Genomic DNA, 20,059 nt, shown 5'->3' with positions numbered 1-20,059 from the left:
TCTTAGTATTATTGTCTTTTACGTTCTATCATCGGTTCTGAAAATTAGCTTTCTTTTGGCAGCCAGTTTTTGTAAAGAAACAAGGATTTTAAAAATTACTTTATAAGCATTACATATCTTGAATTTATTAACTTGGTGACTTTGGACAAATTATGTAACTCCTGTGCCTTTCTTCGTCTTTATAGCATAGATACTAATAATCCTTTCTCGTGGTAGTATTGGGAAGCTTAAATGAAATAATTTATCTTTTGTTTCCTGAGTCATATAGATGAAATAATTTTTGTTAAATATGTAACATACATAAGTCACTTAGTAATTGTCTAATGTTGTTTGTTGTTGTTGTTTTTGAGATGGAGTCTCACTGTGTTACCCAGGCTGGAGTGCTGTGGCACAATCTTGGCTCCCTGCAACCTCCCCCTCCTGAGTTCAAGTGATTCTCTTGCCTCAGCCTCCCGAGTAGCTGGGACTGCAGGCGTGCACTACCACACCCAGCTAATTTTTGTATTTTTGGGAGAGACGGGGTTTTATCATGTTAGCCAGGCTAGTCTCGAACTCCTCACCTCGGGCAGTCCGCCCACCTTGGCCTCCCAAAGCGCTGAGATTACAGGCCTGAGCAACCATGCCCAGCCCAACGTTGTGATTTTTTTTTTAATTATACTTTAAGTTCTAGGGTACATGTGCACAATGTGCAGGTTTGTTACATAGGTATACATGTGCCATGTTGGTTTGCTGCTTCCATTAGCTCATCATTTACATTAGGTATTTCTCCTAATGCTATCCCTCCCCCTGCCCCCACCCCACGACAGGCCCTGGTGTGTGACGTTCCCCACCCTGTGTCCAAGTGTTCTCAGTGTTCAATTCCCACCTATGAGTGAGAACATGCGGTGTTTGGTTTTCTGTCCTTGTGATAGTTTGCTGAGAATGATGGTTTCCAGCTGCATCCATGCCCCTGCAAAGGACGTGAACTCATCCTTTTTTATGGCTGCATAGTATTCCATGGTGTATATGTGCCACATTTTCTTAATCCAGCCTATTATTGATGGACATTTGGGTTGGTTCCAAGTCTTTACTATTGTGAATATTGTCGCAGTAAATATACGTATGCATGTGTCTTTATAGTAGCATGATTTATAATCCTTTGAGTATATAGCCAGTAATGGGATCGCTGGGTCAAATGATATTTCTAGTTCTAGATAACTGGGGAATCACCACACTGTCTTCCACAATGGTTGAACTAGTTTACACTCCCACTTACAGTGTAAAAGCATTCCTATGTCTCTACATCCTCTCTAGCATCTGTTGTTTCCTGACTTTTTAATGATTGCCATTCTAACTGGTGTGAGATGGTATCTTACTGTGGTTTTGATTTGCATTTCTCCGATGACCAGTGATGATGAGCATTTTTTCATGTGTCTGTTGGCTGCATAAATGTCTTCTTTTGAGAAGTGTCTGTTCATATCCTTGTGATTTTAATATAGAGAACAGCTAAGCTTACTTGGTTTGGTTGTAAAGAGGGCACAGAACTTGAAAAATGTTTTAACATACTTTTCGTTTTCATATTGTACACTAGAATATTTTCAGTGTATATAAAATTACATATACTACTTACAGAGAATTCAGAAAAAGAGAAAAGTACAAAAATAAAAATTCTCTATAATGGTACCATCTTATGACTATGCCATAACTTGTTATTTTAAGTTTCTTTGTCATGTGTACTTGTGAAGCTTTTTGGTTTTATTTTTAAACAAGTGTTCTGATCAAATTTTTGACTTTTTTTCTTTTAATTTTTTAAAATTATGCCTCATTTTCTAAAATTTAGATGCTACTTAATTGTTTCTGCTGTTTGAATTTTTTGTCTTTCTTTTTTAGATCCCCTATTATCTTTTGTTTTCTTTCTTTCTTAATTTGTTCTCTCCTTTTTGTGTAGCATATTTTTTGATAGTTTCTTGAGAAAAAGACAATTTGGGAAATATGTATTTGAGACTTTACGTGCCTGAAAAACATGTTGTAGCTTCTTGCTTAATAGTTTGACCCAATTTAAATTTCATAATTGAAAATTTTTTTTTAAGATTTTGTTTCTCGTTTCCAAAGTTGCTGTTGAGAAGTCCAGTGCTAATTTTAGACTTCTGGTTGTGATCCTGTTTCTTGTCTTTGGAAGCTTTGCAGATTTTTTTGTTTGTTACTGAAATTTCATGATGATATCCTGAAATTTTGTGATGATACAGTGTTATGTATGTTTATTTTCCATTTCTTTGTCCTTTCTGTCCACTGTGTTACCTCATGTTTATTAATTTTGAGTATCCTTTTACATTTCTAAGAGTTCTTTCTTATTTTCCAAGTCTTCCTTTTTTTTTTGAGACGGGGTCTTGCTCTGTCACCCAGACTGGAGTACGGTGGCACGATCTTGGCTCGCTATGACCTATGCCTCCTGGGTTCAAGGGATACTCTCCGACCTCAGCCTCCTGAGTAGCTGAGATTACAGGCATGTGCCACCATGCCTGGCTAATTTTTGCATTTTTAGTAGAGATGTGGTTTCACCATGTCGGCCAGTTGGTCTCGAACTCCTGACCTCAGGTGATCTGCCTGCCTCGGCCTCCCAAAGGGCTGGGAGGCCCTACACCCCGCCACTTGGGCCACTACACCCGGCCCAAGTCTCCCTTTTTTGAAATATTCTGTGTTTCGTAGATACCTTTTCGTTGATGGTATTAATTATTTCTCTGAGGTTTTCTTCTGCTGTCAGTCCTAACCTTTTTTCTTCTTATTCTCTGCTTTTTAAACTGTAATTCATATTGGACATTTTCCTCAAATATTTGTTTCTTGGCTCTGTAGTTATTGTTGATAGTGAGATACTAAAAAGCTCAATAGCAGAGGGGTGTGTGTGTTCACCTCTGGCATGATGGGACATTGACTCTGGCTTCCAGATTGGTGAGCATCACTATCGAGCAGTCTGGTGGTCAGTTAGTTTTTTTTTTTTTATAGATCCTCAATTGTTGTTAGTGATCACTGTCTTCCCTGGAGAAGTTCAGCCTCTTTGCAGAAGGATCTTCCAGTCCACTTAAGCTTGGCTGCTGTCTGCTCTTTTGGAGTTAGATAGAATGAAGAAACACTCAGGGCACTCACACAAACCAAACATAATCACACACATATGTCTGATGACTCTGGATTTTTGGTTTATTTTCTTGAGAAGATAAATGTCTGGACTTCCAAAATGAATGTGTCATAAAGGAATTGCTTGACTGCCTGGCTTGGAGTAGAGACTTGGGGATTTAATTGCTTATTATACAGACTTTGAGATAATATTCCTATTTTCAGACCATAACACACTTCATCTTCTATGGAACCTACTACTTCTAATAGCTGATGGTGTCTGGATTCTACTAAGCTAAAATAGCTTATTTTTATTTTCGAGACAGGGTCTTGCTCTGTCATCCAGGCTGGAGTGCAGTGGCATGATTACAACTTACTGCAGCCTCAACCTCCTGGGCTAAATTGACCCTCCTGCCTTAGCCTCCTGAAGCTGGGACTACAGGCATGTGCCATCACACCTGGCTAATTTTCCTTTTCTTTCTTTTTCCTTTTCCTTTCCTTTCCTTTTTTTTTTTTTTTTTTTTTTTTATTTTGTAGAGAAGAGGTCTTACTGTGTTTCCTAGTCTGGTCTCAAATTCCTGGGCTCAAGCTTTCCTCCCACCTTGGCCTCCCAAAGTGCTAGGATTATAGGTGTGCCCACCACCACACGCCCAGTGCTTGTTTTTCTTAGAGATATGGTTATCATGCTTTTTCTACCCTTTCTGTGATTTTAAATGCTCTCTGCTCATCCTCCTGCTGTCCATATTAATATATTCTTATATTGTGGTTAGGGGTTACATGTATTTTCTGAGTTTGTTGAAGATGAAAATTGATTTTTTAACTTTTATTTGACGTTCAGGGGTACATGTGCAGGTTTGTTATATAGGAAAGCTTATGTCACAGGGACTTGTTGTACAGATTATTTTGTCACCCAGGTATTAAGCCTAGTACCCATTAGTTACATTTCCTGACTCTCTCCCTCCTCTAGACTTCCATCCTCCATTAGACCTCACTGTCTGTTGTTTCTGTCTGTGTGTTCATGCTTTCTCATCGTTTAGCTCCCACTTATAAGTGAGAACATGAGGTATTTGGTTTTCCTTTCCTGCATTAGTTTGCTAAGGATAATGGCCTCCAGCTCCATCCATGTCCCTGCAAAAGACAGGATCTCGTTCTTTTTTATGGCTGCAAAGCCTTCCATGGTGTATATGTACCACATTTTCTTTAACCAGTCTACCATTGCTGGGCATTAAGGTTGATTCCATGTCTTTACCAGTATGAGTAGTGCTGCAGTGAACATGTGCATCCATGTGTCTTTATGATAGAATGATTTATATTCCTTTGGGTGTTGTATTAGTCTGTTTTCATACTGCTATAAAGAATTCTCCTAGACTGGGTAATTCATAAAGGCAAGAGATTTAATTGACACACAGTTCTGCATTGCTAGGGAAGCCTCAGGAAACTTACAATCATGGCAGAATGCAAAGGAGAAGCAGGCACATTCTTCACAGGGCAGCTGGATGGAAGTGAGTGCAAGCAGGGGAAATGCCAGAGACGTATAAAACCGTCAGATCTCAGGCCAGGTGCAGTGGCTCATGCCTGTAATCCCAGCACTTTGGGAGGCCGAGACAGGTGGATTACTTGAGGTCAGGAGTTCGAGACTAGCCTGGCCAACATGGTGAAACCTATCTCTACTAAAAATACAAAATTAGCCGGGCATGGTGGTGCGTGCCTGTAATCCCAGCTACAAGGCTGAGGCAGAAGAATCGCTTGAACCTGGGAGGTGGAGGTTGCAGTGAGTCAAGATTGCACTACTGCACTCCAGACTGGGCGACAGAGCAAGACTCCATCTCAAAAAGAAAAAAATAACCTAGCTGGGCATGGTGGCGTGCACCTGTAATCCCAGCTACTCTGGAGGCTGAGGCAGGAGAATCACTTGAACCCAGAGGGCGGAGGTTGCAGTGAGCTGAGATCGCACCACTGCATTCACAGCCTTGGTGACACAGCAAGACTCCACTTCAAAAAAAAAAAAAAACAAAGACATCCCATCAGATCTCGTGAGAACTCACTATTGGCTGGGTGCAGTGGCTCACGCCTGTAATGCTAACACTTTTAGAGGCCGAAGAGGGCAGATCATTCGAGACCAGCCTGGCCAACATGGTGAAAGCCTCATCTCTACTAAAAATACAAAAATTAGCTGGGCTGGTGGTGGGCGCCTGCAATTTCAGCCACTAGGGAGGCTGAGGCACGAGAATCACTTGAACCAGGGAGGCGGGGGTTGCAGTGAGCTGAGATCGCACCACTGCACTCCCGTCTGGGCGACAGAATGAGACTCCATCTCAAAAAATAAGAAAAATAATCCAAAGAACTCACTATCATGAGAAGAGCATGTGGGAAACTGCCCCCATGATCCCAGTTACCTCCACCTGGTCCCGCTTTGGCATGTGGGGATTATGGGGATTACAATTTGAGGTAAGATTTGGGTGGAGACACAGAGCCAAGCCATATCAGGTATATACCCAGTAATGGGATTGATGGGTTGAATGGTAGTTCTGTTTTTAGGTCTTTGTGGAACTGCAACACTGCTTTCCAGAAAAATTGTTTTTTAAGAGATAAATGGATTTGTTAAATCTATGTCATTTGGAAACTGGTAGTTTGTCATAAGATCCCTTTTAAAAAAAATAAGCATTGTAAAAATAAAGTACTATAATCACCTCTCTCTTTAAAAATCTAGTTTGTTCCACTATATCAGACATATTTCCAAGGTGTATAACAATAGTTTTCAAAGGTATAATAGGTATCACTAAATATAAATGCAGTTTTTTACTTTTCAGTTTTATGTTTAGCAAGACAGAAATGCAAATTGTTGGTTATTGATTAAAAGGGTCAGTGTCCTTCGACTTCGTTTTAGGCATCCCATTTCCTGATGAACTCTCCTTTTGTTCCAGTGTTTTCTTCTGTGTTTCCACTCAACTGTTTTTTTAATTGTGATTTTAAATACTTTGACACTATGTTTTTAATGTTCTTCACACTCTTCTTGTCCTCACTGCCTTTATTTTTCCCACTTAGATTTTATCATTCTTTATTATAATTACATCTTCCTTCATACCGTCAACTTCCTTGCTTCTGTCTTCCTCTTTCATATTCCGTAGGAAAACCCCATACAACCATCTCTCCCATACCTGCAGCAGAGCTGAAAGTGGCTGGAGAAAAATACATACCATAAGGGCTGGGCTTTACTTTTTTTTTTTTTTTTTTCCAAGTGGTCCTTTAATGCTGCCTAGCAATCCCCTTAGTGTATTATACTCCAGGGTTATTTCCACATCCTAACAAAATTGTTTTATACTTTCTCCTCAAAGCTACATTTCCTATCCAGTCTTCACATTTAGCTGATTATCTTGCCTGTTTAATCGGGATAGTCGAAAGAGAATCCTTCAGGGATTAAGCCTACCTACCTATCTAGCTGCAGTTATACTCTTATCCTCTATCTGTTTTCTTAACTACAGTGGCCTCTAAGGCCAATGCTTGTACTTGTACTGTGAATCTGATCCCTTTTCACCTTCTCAAGAACTTTGTCTCTCAAGTTGTTCTCACTCTCATTACTTCAAAATTTCTTTCTTTTATTAGATAACTCATTATTTTGCTAATAGCTCCCATCTTTTAGGAACCCTTTGTGTCAGTCTGGGTTCCCCCAGAGAAACAGAACTAAGAGATATTCTTGCATCTTTCTCTGTCTCTGTCTCTCTCTCTCTCTCTCTCTCGCGCACGCGCGCACACAGACACACACACACGTACACACGTTTCACTGATGTGGCTCAGCACAATTGTGGGAACTTGCAAATCGGAAATTTGTAGGGTACCCCAGCAAGCTGGAAATCAGACAGGAGTCGTGCAGTCTTGAGTCTGAGATCTGTGGAGCAGGCTAGAAACTCAGGATTTTATTTACTTATTTATTTATTTTAGAGACAGGGTCTCACTCTGTCACCCAGGCTGAAGTGCAGTGGCACAGTTGTGGATTACTGCAACCTTGAATTCTGGGTTTATGTAATCCTCCCACCTCGGCCTCCCCAGTAGCTGAGACTACAGGTGCACATCTCAATGCCCAGGTAATTTTTAAATTTTTTGTAGAGATGGAGTCTTGCTATGTTACCCAGGCTGGTCTTGAACTCCTGACCTCAAGTCATCCTTTCACCTCTGCCTCACAAAGCACTGGGATTACAGATGTGAGCCATCATGCTCAGCCTAGGACTTTATGTTGCAGCCTTGAGGCAAACATTTCCTCTCTAGAAAACCTATTTTTTCTCTTAAGCTTTCAACTGATTGCATGAGACCCACTCACATTATTGAGGGTAATCTCCTTTATTTAAAGGAGATTATAGGTGTTAACCATACAAAATATCTACAAAATTCCTTCAAGGAATATCTACAAAATTCCTGCATTAGTGTTTGATTAAGTAATTGACTGTGATAGTCTAGCCATGCCTGGACACATAAGACTAACCATTACACTGTACCTTGTTCCCTCACGTTCCTCTAGCCCCAGTTTCATTTTTCTCCTTTTCTTTATAGCAAATCTCAGAATTATTTATATTCACTCTCTCCACTCAGTCCTCTCCTATTAGGTTTCTGTCTCTACTACTTCACTACCTCTCCTGTTGAGGTCAGCAGTTACCTTCTTATTGCCCAAATCAGTGAGCAGCTCCAGTTGTCATCTTTTTTTCTTTGGAAAGACACAGCTACCATTTTTTCTCCTTGGAACACTGTCTTCACTTGTTTTCTGGAATACCACATTGTCCTGGTGATTTTAGAAAGCTAAACTGCAAATATCGAGTTATCTTGACACTCAATCTTCAGACAGGTTTTTTTAATGTATTCACTCCTTATTGAATAAAGTGAAAACCAATTTCATAGACATTATTTTTATTAAAAAATAGTGATGAGTAGGAAAATAATATAGTCACATGATTTAAAATTCAAAGTAGACCAGGCACTACGGTTCATCCCTGTAATTCCAACACTTTGGGAGGCTGACGTGGGAGAATCACTTGAGGCCAGGAGTTCAAGACCAACCTGGGCAATATAGTGGGACCCCCATCTCTACAAAAAAATTTTTTTTTTAATTAGCTGGGCATGGTGGTAGCTGTAGTCCCAGCTACTCAGGAGGCTGAGATGAGAGGATCACTTGAGCCTGGTGGGGGTCGAGGCTGCAGGGAGCTGTGATTGCACCACTGTGCTCTATTCTGAGTGACAGAGCAAGACCTTGTCTCAAAAGAAAAACAAAAAGTAAAAAAATTTTATATGGTGAAATGTTATTCTTTCACCCCTGTCTCTGACCTTCAAATTAACTTCCTTGAAGACAACCAAAGTTGCCAGTTTCTTACGTTTTTCTAAACATGTTATATGCAAATAATAGCAAATACACATTCAGTGAGAGACAATATGGTGTGTTTAAGAGCTGGGACTATGGAGCAAGGCTGCCTATACTCAAATTCTATGTCCACCAATTGCTATGTAACCATCAAGTCTTTTAGCTGATCTGTGCCTCAGTTTTCTCTTAATGTGAAAAGGAACTAATAATAGTACTTCCTTCGTAGATTTGTGAGTTGTAAATGAATAAGTATGTTTATACGGCTTGGAAGAGTGACTGGCAAGTAAAAATAAATAATACATTCTTTTGCACAAATGATAGCATATACACACTGTAAGGCTATCTTGTCTGTATTTTTCCATTAACAAATATCTTGGTGATCTTTTGTTTACAACACACAAATAATACCACCTTTTTCTAATTTCCATCTAGTTTTATGGTTCTGAATACCAGTGTCTTTGATAATGACTTCCAAATGTGTGTCTACTAGGCATTTCCACTTACATAACTAATAAACAAAAATATTTCTAATTATCTTTGCCCTTTCCATTTATCTCATTTCCTTCATTGTAATCTAACAAATTCTTTCAGCAGTATATTCTTTTTCTTTTTCTTTTCTTTTTTTTTTTTTTTTTGAGGTGGAGTCTTGCTGTGTCTCACAGGCTGGAGTGCAGTGGTGCAGCCTCAGCTCACTGCAATCTCTACCTCCTGGGTTCAAGCCATTCTCCTGCCTCAGCCTACCGAGTAGCTGGGATTACTGGCGTGCGTCACCACATCTGGGAAATTTTTTTTTTTTTTTTTTTTGTATTTTTAGTAGACACGGGGTTTCACCATGTTGGCCAGGCTGGTCTTGAACTCCTGACCTCCAGTGATCCACCTGCCTCAGACTCCCAAAGTGCTGGGATTACAGGCGTGAGCCCCCTCGCCTGGCCTGGTATTTTCAAAATACACTTCATATCTAACAATTTCTCTCTACCTATTGCTGCCACGTTAATCTAAGCCAGCATCATTTCACTGAGTTGCCAAAGGCAAAAACCTAAGACTCATTATTGCAAACTTTGAGCAAAATATTTTCAGCTCTGCCTCACTGCTCCTATTTAGTCTCCCTTCTTCCAGTTTTACTGTCCTATACTCTGGTCACACATCAGTTTAAAATCTAATTCAGACTGTTTCACATCACTCCACATTCTCTAGGACATCTTACCCTGCTTAGATTTAATTCATGAGCCTTAAGGAGAGGATAGGTTAACTGGATCCTAGTAACTCTCTTATAATCTGGCCTCTTCCTTCCTTTTAAGTATCTTCTTCTGCCTCTGACTACCTCTGTGCTCCAACCAGACTAAATACTATACTCTGTAGTGAGTACCCTCCTCCCAACAGTTTACCTTATAACTGTCCCTGGAAAGCTGTTCTGCTGTGGAATCATGTGACCATTCCTTCACTTCATGCTCAAATGTCAAGGTCTCAGAGAGGCCTTCCCAAATGACCATCTAAAATAGCACCCCCTTAATCATTAACTGACGTGGTTTTTTCATTTGCATATTACCTATTCATTTATTGTCTTCTTTTCCTCACTAGAATGTAAAAATCACAAAAGGAAGTTGTTTGTTTTGTTCACTTGTGTATCTCTAATAACTAGAACAATGCTCAGTATATGCTGGATTGTTAGATGAATGGACAGGACTTTAAATAAGTGCTTCTTTAGCTATGATGAATGACTAGTTTTTAATTACGAATCTGTCACAACCTAGTACTTTTGTAAAATGCGGTGGAAATAGTATATATGTATTTATTAGTGTCATGTTATTAAAATCAACAGGCATTAAATTGTCAGATTGCTATAAAAACTTCTAAATGTTTTCAATTTTTTGCTCATAATGACCTTCTAATAAACTTGTTGTGGTCAGCACCCATTTGCAGACGACACTATCAGTACCACTGTACTAGAACATATTTACCATTTTATAGTCAGCAGTTAAAATGTGAAAGCTAAATGAAGGACGTATTCTTCTCCTTGCTAGACAAGAAGAAGCCACTTAAGAGCTGATGTCACATTATGATGGCTGAATTCCTGCAGGATTATTAACTTACAAAAAGGTTTTTTTAGTAATACCAGGAAAATTTGATAAGTACCAATTCTATGCAGAGATAAGTCTTTTTCAGTGGACTCAATTAAAACATCATAATCCTCATTTTATGTCTGTCATTTAATTTGAGGTTTGTTTTTAATAGCTGTTTATGTGTTATTCAATGAAGTCTCAGTTTTACAGGTTTAAAAATATTTTATCTCAGTAAACACTGCTGTATTATACCTAATATGTTTCCGAAGATATATTGATCATTTTTAACATGTCTTGTCTGTTTTAGTATGTTGATTACTTTACTGTTTATGTATCTGGGATGGAAGGAGAGTCATTAAATAATGACATTTGGAGTTTGGGATCTGGGTTCACAAGAAGATATACAGCTGAAAGTAAAAGCTATGAAGTTTTTAAAAAGCCGTGCCTCAGTTTCCACTGGTGAATTGCAACCAGGGTTGGTGTTAATTTTAATGCTTTTCAGCTCCTGGATATTCAAGTCATTTTGCGTTAGGTATGTAGAGGTAGATACTGAATTAAGCTCCTTTGGGTGTCACTTCATATGCTCATAACAAACACTGATAAACTAGTATTATCAGCTTGAGTAGTTGGAATGCTCCAGATTCCTCTTGTCTTTGAGCTGTTCTCTTTCCTTATACAGTTTAATTTTACAAATTATTTTAAACTTTCATAGTGTAGTCCAATATACTACTACTGGCAACACACAAAACTCAAAATCACTGTCTTATATTTTGAAACACAAGAATATTTCTCAGTTTACTGTTTGAGACACTACCACAGGGAAAGAAACATTTTCATTTAATTCATTTCTAATGCAAAAATCCTGAAAAATCCATTTCTGGTCACTAATTTAAATAAATTTGTTTTTCAGGATTTTTGCATTATAATTTTGCATTGTAATGGTCACTAACTTAAACACGTTTGTTTTTTCAGGATGTTTACATTTGTTTTTCAGGTTTTTTACCTTATATTTTGGTTTAAGGACAGCAGCAATTATTTAATAACATAGAACTGATCAAAATGTAGATAGAGTTTCCGAATAACAAATTGAGTATACGTGTAGATAGAAATACAGATACAGCATACATACATACTATATGTATTTAGAAAACACATATGTTTACATATGTAATTAAGAAAAAATAGGCCGGGTGCGGTGGCTCATGCCTGTAATCCCAGCACTTTGGGAGGCCAAGGTGGGCGGATCACCTGAGATCGGGAGTTCAAAACCCGCCTGGCCAACATGGTGAAACCCTGTCTCTACTAAAAAATACAGTAATTAGCTGGGCGTGGTGGTGCATGTCTGTAATCCCAGCTACTCCGGAGGCTGAGGCAGGAGAATCACTTGAACCTGGGAGGTGGAGGTTGCAGTAAGCCAAGATTGCGCCATTGCACTCCAGCCTGGGCAACAAGAGCGAAACTCCAACTCAAAAAAAAAATAAAAATAATGAAATTTTAGAAACAGTGCATGCTTGTTTTTAATTATATGGATATGTTTGCAGATAAATGAATCAGTTCTTCTAAAGCACTGAACAGTTCAGTTTTTTTAATAACCAAATGTTCATACTTGCACATGAATAACCTAAAAGGAGCAAAAAGGGGAAATTATTTACCAGCTCAAACTGTCTTGTTCCTTTACCTGTATTTCCCATATTCTCACTATCTCAATGATGAAAACAAATATGAACAGACAGAAGTTTGAGGTTTGTGTCATACCTGTTTGTCAGAGGATGTGAAACAAATTTGAAAGTGTTTAATAAGATTTACAAATACAAGTGAACGTTTAAAAGTACATTATCACTGTGGCTGGGGAGGATAGGTCAATTGGAAATTCACAAAGTACATTTTTAATGGACTTCAATGAGTTTGGTAGGATTAGTATGTTTTTCAGGGTTTGGAGGTTGTGCAACTCTCTGAGGTGAGGAACAAAGGGAGAGGACCATATATGGGGGTAAAGATCACAAATTGATTGTAAACATCTAAAACATCTAAGGTACCTTTGACACATTTAAGTAAAGGTACTAAGGATGCATTTATATATACTCATATTTGATGATCAGTAGAGAGGTTTAGGCTTGATTAGTGTGCCCTTACGTGTGTATTTTTAGGAGTAGGAGAAAGGAGTTGTTGAAGATAGAACTGAAATCCTTTCTTCTGTTAGTTAGGATGAGGCTGTGTTTAAATGGAAAGTGTTAACAAGCCAAGCTGAGGTAGAGAAAATTATGTTGCAGATGAGTTTATTTCTATAAATTAGTTATCTTTTATTTAAACTTAAATTATGCCTGGGTTGTAAAACAGAAATTCACTAGTTTCATTTCTTCATCCATTGGCTTTATAAATTTGTAATCTTATATGGATAAAGTTTTGATTCATAGGTATTATAATATTTCTTCATTTCATAGCCATGAAGCTCATGACTGCTCTGGTGAATGTTGCCTTAAACCTCAGTATTCATCAGGATAATACCCAGAGACAATATGAAGCCGAGAGAAATAAAATGATTGGGAAGAGAGCCAATGAAAGGTTGGAGTTACTACTTCAGAAACGCAAAGAGGTAAGTTTCATGGGAACTGATGATTTTATGTTCTGTAAATGTGTGGAATATATATGACATTAGTACTTTTTAAGTTCCCTGTAAAAAGGTTTATGTGTATATTTAGTTAGATTATTTGATGTCAGGGTTTCCAAATGAAGCTGGAGTGTTCATTGGTGATCATGTAAGTGCCGTCTGATGGCAGAAAGGAATCATAGAACACCTCTGTTTTTGAAAGAAGTTGGTCTGGGAGTTAGGCAACTCAAAAAGGTTATAAGGCTATAGGCTCAAAAAGTATGATAAATACTGAAGTCAGAACCGTGAGCCAGCAAAGCTACATTTCCAGGAAAAAGCTAAAGGCTACATACTAGCTGGTATATAAGGCACTCCTATGAATAAGATTGGTCTCAGTTTTACAATGACATTTTCATATATGTGTTAAAAATGATTTTATACTGTTTTTTTTTTGGGGGATGGAGTTTCGCTCTTGTTGCCCAGGCTCGAGTGCAATGGTGCGATCTCAACTCACCGCAACCTCCACCTCCCCAAAAGCAATTCTCCTGCCTCAGCCTCCCAAGTAGCTGGGAGTACAGGCATGTGCCACCACTCCTGGCTAATTTTGTATTTTTAGTAGAGATGGGGTTTCTCCATGTTGGTCAGGCTGGTCTCGAACTCCCAACCTCAGGTGATCCGCCCACCTCGGCCTCCCAAAGTGCTGAGATTACAGGCATGAGCCACTGTGCCCGGCCTATACTGGGTTTTTAATAGGAAACATTTTTATTTATCCAATACTACATAAAATCTTAGATCTGCACTATTAGTCTATCTTATAACTTGAAAAAAGAATATCACATTACAGCAAAGGAATTACGTATGAATAATAACTTAATGGGTTTATAATAGGCAAGAAAAAGCAACGATGTTTTGATTATTAGCCATACTGTATTAGTTTGATAGGGCTGCTGTGACAAAGTACCACAAACTGAACGAATTAAACAAAATAACATTATTATAATCTCACAGGCTTGCAGGCTAGAATTCCAAGATCAAGGTGTTGGCAGGGCCATCCTCGCTCGGAAGGTTGTGTTCCAGACTTCTCTCCTAGTGTCTGGTAGTTGCTTGGCTGGTGGCAGCATAATTCCAATCTTTGCATGACATTCTTCCTGTGTGTATGTTTGTCCCCAAATTTATTCCCTTCTTAAGGACATCAGTCATATTGGATTAGGGTCCTCCCCTACTCCAGTATGGCTGCATCTTAATGAATTAAATCTGCCACAGTCCTCTCCTAATTTCACATTCTGAGGTACTAGGGGTTAGAACTTCAATGTACAAATTTTTAAGGAACATAGTTTAACCCTTCACACATACCATACTTGAAATATTATAGAAGTAAATACTAGAGCTGGGCTTTCGTAAGTACTGCTGACTCAGAAATGTATGCCTCTTATAAATTAATTAGTTTTTATATGATAAATGCAATAAAAATAATTTTTAACACTTGGAGGAAGTTGCAGAAATTTGAATGATTTTGCAATAAAAGTATTCCCAAACTTATTTTAGTAAAGCCTGAAACAAAGCATACAGCAAAAGAATAAATCTGAGGGAATTTTATTGTCAACATTCATGTATGTAGTAAAAGCAAATATTTCACTGAATATTACTATACAGTAAATTACAGAATAAATTAGAATAGTAGATACCACCTTGAATGTAATTCAGTGCTGTTGTTGTTTTTGAGTAATAATAAACACAAACTTTAACTCTGATCAGTTTTGTTGCCTGAAATTTGTATCTTTGCCATAGATACTATTTATTTTGTTACTGTACTTCACCATAAGTAGCCAGGATCCTTTTTATCTTCTGTTATACCTCTTATTGGGAACTTGGCCTGCTGTCTGTTACAGGCTAGTGAGATGCAGAGTAATGTTTGGATACATTAGATGGAGTAGGAAGTTACTTTTAGAACAGCAAATATGTTAATTAGGGATGTTCCTTTAACCAAGAAAGGCAAAACCAAACCCAGGGACCTGATTTAGACAGAAGAGTTCTGTTCCTAAGGCAGATGATATTTTGGAGATAGGAATCTGACCACACTTAGCTATACCACCACTCCTTGTTTGTGATTGTGAAGTTTGTGTCTAGAGAGAGACAGTGAAAAGTTCTAAAACCAATATGATATAAATGTAAAGGAATAATGGAAATATACTGGTATTTTCACACATCTGTACTACAAGTGAGAAAAGGATTGAAAACTACCCAGAATGAAAATAACCAGGAATTAAAAACAATTGGAGCTGTTCCTTCCAAATAAAATGATCAGGATTTCAACTTATATATATTTTTTCATTTCAGCTGCAAGAAAATCAGGATGAAATCGAAAATATGATGAACTCTATTTTTAAGGGTATATTTGTTCATAGATACCGGTAAGAGATTTTAAAAATAATTTTGAAGGCTTTTCACTTAAACAATTATTGATTTTTTTTGTGGCCCAGGCTAACTGTAAAACTCACTAATTATGATTTATGTTTTGTTTTCTGGAAAACAACTTTGGCTGTCAGTGTCACACTACAACTATAGAAGAAATTGTATGACTGCTGCCACTACCACTGTTATACTCTTCCAAATTCAGAACATATGCTGTTGGAAGTAGCTTATGTACTTGGATTTATACTGATGGAATATTAATTAATAGGATCATAAACTAATGTAGCTTTAATAAGATATTCTTGTTTTCACATTTAAAAAATTAAGTGCCCTACTTCTTGCTCTGTGGTACTCATTTTGTTCCATGGGCAAATTAATAATTTAAAAAAAAAAAAAACCTGTGTGAAGCTGGGCGAAAAGAGGACAGAGAAGGGCAACCCCGCAGTTAATGCAACAACTGTATCTTCATTCTTGTTTCCTTTCAGATAAACACATTGAAATAAAAGCCATTAGCAAAATATTTTTGTTATCCTCCATTGCTAATGATTTTAGTTTGTCTTTCTGTGAAGCCCAGGAACCTTAAAAACACTAACTACATTGTAAAAGAGCATATTTTACATTGAGTGAATGAATCATATACATATACTTGTTACCTTCTGTTGATTAGATGTGATGTGTGTAAGTAGATAGACAAAGATAATAAATAGAAGCACTGTTTTCAGACCCATTTGAGAGTATATTTGGCTAATTAATATAGAGCGGTGGGATGTGGTCGCTCATCCCTGTAATCCTAACACTTTGGGAGGCTAAGGTGGGAGGATCACTTGAGGCCAGGAGTTAAAGACTGCATCTCTACAGAAAATTTAAAAATCAGCCCGGTGTGGTAGTGTGCACTTGTAGTCCCAGCTACTCGGGAGGCTGAGGTGGGAGGATTGCCTGAACCAGAGGGTCAAGGCTGCAGTGAGCCTTGATTGCGCCACTGCACTCCAGTCTGGGTGACAGAACAAGACCCTGTCTAAAACAAAACAAAGAAATACACACATACACAGCTGACCTTTGAACAACATGGGTTTGAACTGCAAGAATTGCCTGTAAACCATTTGTTTCTAACTAAACACGGATTGAAAATACAGTATTTGTGGGATACGAAACCTGTTTACATGGAGGTCTAACTTGTTGAATATGCAGATTACTCAGAGACAGCTGTAGTACTTGAGTATGCATGGATTTTGCTATATGTGAGCAGTCCGAGAAGCAATCCCCTGTGTATACCAAGTGGCAAGTTGTGTGTGTATGTGTATCTGTTTGATAATTTATTTTAATGGAACTTAAACATTTTAACCAAAAGAATAAAATGTTCTTTTGAAATAGGTCCAGGGCTTTTATGTTCAGTGTGGATTGTCTGATTGGAGTTTTATGTCTGCTTTCTTGCATATACTGCATGTATAACATGTTATTGATATATTTGTTTTAAAAAGAACAAGGATTTGCATATACCTGCCATGCAGTCTTTGTTTTTTTTTTTTTACTGCAACTTTATGGAGGTCTAATTCACATAAATAAACTGCACATTTAAGTGCATAATTTGATGAGTTTTGACATATATACACCTATAAAACCACCACCACAAGCGAGATAATGAATCTCTCCATCATCCTTAAGAAATTCAAGTGCCAAGTTTTCTCATGGCACTTTGTAACTCCTTTCTACCTCCCTTCCTGTTGTTCTACCTTTCCATCATCCTCAAGCAAGCATTGATGTGCTGATTATTTACATTTTCTAGAATTTTATAGAAATGGAATTATGCAACATATCTGGGTTTTTTTTTTGTGGGCGGATCTGGCTTCTTTCTCTGAACAAAGTCAGAGTTTTTTTTATCATTGAATGCGTTGCTAGCCGTAATGTGTATATATATGTGTGTGTGTGTGTGTGTGTGTATGTGTGTGTGGTGTGTGTGTGTGTGTGTGTGTGTATGTATATGTATGTGTATATATATATATATATATATATAATTTTTTTTTTTTTTTTTAAGATGGAGTTTTGCTCTTGTTGCCCAGGCTGGAGTGCACTGGCACAATGTCGGCTCACTGCAACCTCCGCCTCCCGGGTTCAAGTGATTGTCCTGCCTCAGCCTTCCAAGTAGCTGGGATTACAGGCATGCTCTGCCACGCCCAGCTAATTTTGTATTTTTAGTAGAGACGGAGTTTCTCCCTGTTGGTCAGGCTGGTCTCGAACTCCTGACCTCAGGTGATCTGCCTGCCTTGGCCTCCCAAAGTGCTGGGATTATAGTCGTGAGCCACCAGGCCCGGCCTAGCTGTAATATTTTCATAGATGCCCCTTATCAGATTGAGGAATTTTTTTTTTTTTTGAGATGAGTCTCGCTCTGTTGCCCAGGCTAGAGTGCAGTGGCGCGATCTCGGCTCACTGCAAGCTCCACCTCCCGGGTTCACGCCATTCTCCTGCCTCAGCCTCCCAAGTAGCTGGGAGTACAGGCGCCTGCCACCACGCCCAGCTAATTTTTTGTATTTATTTTATTTTTTTTTTAACTAGAGACAGGGTTTCACCGTGTTAGCCAGGGTGGTCTCGATCTCCTGACCTGGTGATCCGCCCGCCTCGGCCTCCCAAAGTGCTGGGGTTACAGGCATGAGCCATCGCGCCCAGCCGGAAGTTTCTTTTTATTCCTAGTTTTCTGAGAGTTTTTATTAGGAATATATCTTGGATTTTGTCAAATCTTTTTCTGCATCTATTGAGATCAGTGTGTTGTTTTATTTTTTAAAGACTTAATGTGGTGAATTTATGTTCAGATGTTAACATGAACGCATAAAGCCCACATTATCATGATATGTTTTTATCTATATATGGTTGTATGTGATTTGCTGAGTTTTTCCAAGAATTTCTGCATCTATGTTCAAGAGGGATAAATAGCTCTAACTTTATTTTAATGAATATCACTGTCTACCTTTGTTAGCAAGGTAATGCTGGCCTTGTAGATTGAGTTACAGTGTATTCTCTCTTCTTTAATTTTCTCGGTGAGTTTGATAGAACTGGTATTATTTCTTCTTCAGATAAGAGTTCTACCATTGGAGCCTAGAATTTTCTTTGCAGGAAGGTTTTTAAGTATGAATTTTCTCCAGTAGATATAGGGCTGTTGAGGTTATCTGTTGTTCCTGAGTAAACTTTGGTAGTTTATGTCTTATAAGAAATTGGTACATTCATCTTGGTGGTTGAGTTGTATTAAAAAACTATCAGCATAAAGTTGGTCATAATATTGGTAATTTAACATCTCTCTCTCTCTCCCTCTCTCTCTCCCACTCCTTTTCCCCCTGCTTCCTTCCCGCTTTTCTCTTTTCATTGTTCAGTGTATGTGGAGCTATTTTATCTTATTTTATATTGAATTTTTCTATTATTTTTGTTTTCTATTTCATTGATTTCTGTCCTTTATTTCCTTTCATCTGCTCACTTTGGGTTTCACTTCTTCAGCTCTTCTTAGTTTCTCAAGGTAGAATTTGAGGTCATTGATTTGACACTTTTTTTCTAATAAGGGAATTTACTCCTATAAATTTTTTAAAGCACTGCTTTAGCTATGTGTCCTAAATTTGGATATATTGCATTTTTTATTTAGTTCAAAATACTGTCTAGTTTCCTTTTTGATTTTTTTGTTTCACCCATGGATTATTTTGAAGCATGGCATTTAGTGTGCAGATATTTGAGGATTTTCTAGATACCTTTCTGTTATTGATTTCTAATTTAATTTCAATGTAGTCAAAGAACATAGTTTGTATGATTTGAATGCTTCTAAATTTATTGAGATTTGTATGAGACCCACAGTAAACTCTATCTTGGTGAATAGATACCTATAGATACCTATAGATCTCTATACCTCAAGAAAATAAGGTATATTCTGCTTTTGTTGGCTAGCGTCTTATACCAGTTAGGTCAAATTGGTTAATAGTGTTGTTCAAGTCTTCTCTCTCTTTACTGATTTTCGGTCTGTTTATTCTAACAATTATTAAGAAGGGTTTATAGGAGTACTTTCTGTGTTTTTTGGGGGTTTTTTTGTTTGTTTGTTTGTTTTTTGAGACGGAGTCTCCCTCTTGTTGCCCAGGCTGGAGTGCAGTGGTACAATCTCAGCTCACTGCAACCTCTGCCTCCCAGATCCAAGTGGTTCTCCTGCCTCAGCCTCCCAAGTAGCTGGGATTACAGGCATGCACCACCACGCCCAGCTAATTTTTTTTTTTTTTTTTTTTTTTTGAGACGGAGTCTTGCTCTGTCACCCAGGCTGGAGTGCAGTGGTGCACGGTCTCTGCTCTCTGCAAGCTCCGCCTCCCAGGTTCACGCCATTCTCCTGCCTCAGCCTCCCGAGTAGCTGGGACTACAGGCGCCTGCCACCATGCCTGGCTAATTTTTTTGTATTTTTAGTAGAGATGGGGTTTCACCGTGTTATCCAGGATGGTCTTGATCTCTTGACCTCACGAGCCACCTGCCTCAGCCTCCCAACATGCTGGAATTATAGGTATGAGCCACCGTGCCCGGCCCTAATTTTGTATTTTTAATAGAGGCGGAGTTTCA

The 20,059-nt window shown here is 38.3% G+C and overlaps 1 protein-coding gene across 7 annotated transcripts in view; it reads left to right on the top strand.

Moving 5' to 3' along the window:
• STAG1 (STAG1 cohesin complex component) overlaps positions 1–20,059 on the top strand; it is a 416,143-nt gene that overhangs the window by 236,667 nt on the left and 159,417 nt on the right. For all 7 annotated transcript variants that reach the window (XR_001739978.2, NM_005862.3, XM_047447229.1 and 4 more), the window contains 2 exons: positions 12,933–13,084; positions 15,416–15,489. Coding sequence is in view for 6 of the 7 variants with exons in the window: in NM_005862.3 (NP_005853.2) it covers positions 12,933–13,084; positions 15,416–15,489 (226 nt within the window). In the remaining variant the exon portion in view is untranslated. The remainder of the gene's footprint in view (positions 1–12,932; positions 13,085–15,415; positions 15,490–20,059) is intronic.

This window comes from Homo sapiens, chromosome 3 (assembly GCF_000001405.40).
Source record: "Homo sapiens chromosome 3, GRCh38.p14 Primary Assembly".
NCBI lineage: Eukaryota > Metazoa > Chordata > Mammalia > Primates > Hominidae > Homo > Homo sapiens.
This window is presented reverse-complemented; position numbering and strand designations above follow the sequence as displayed.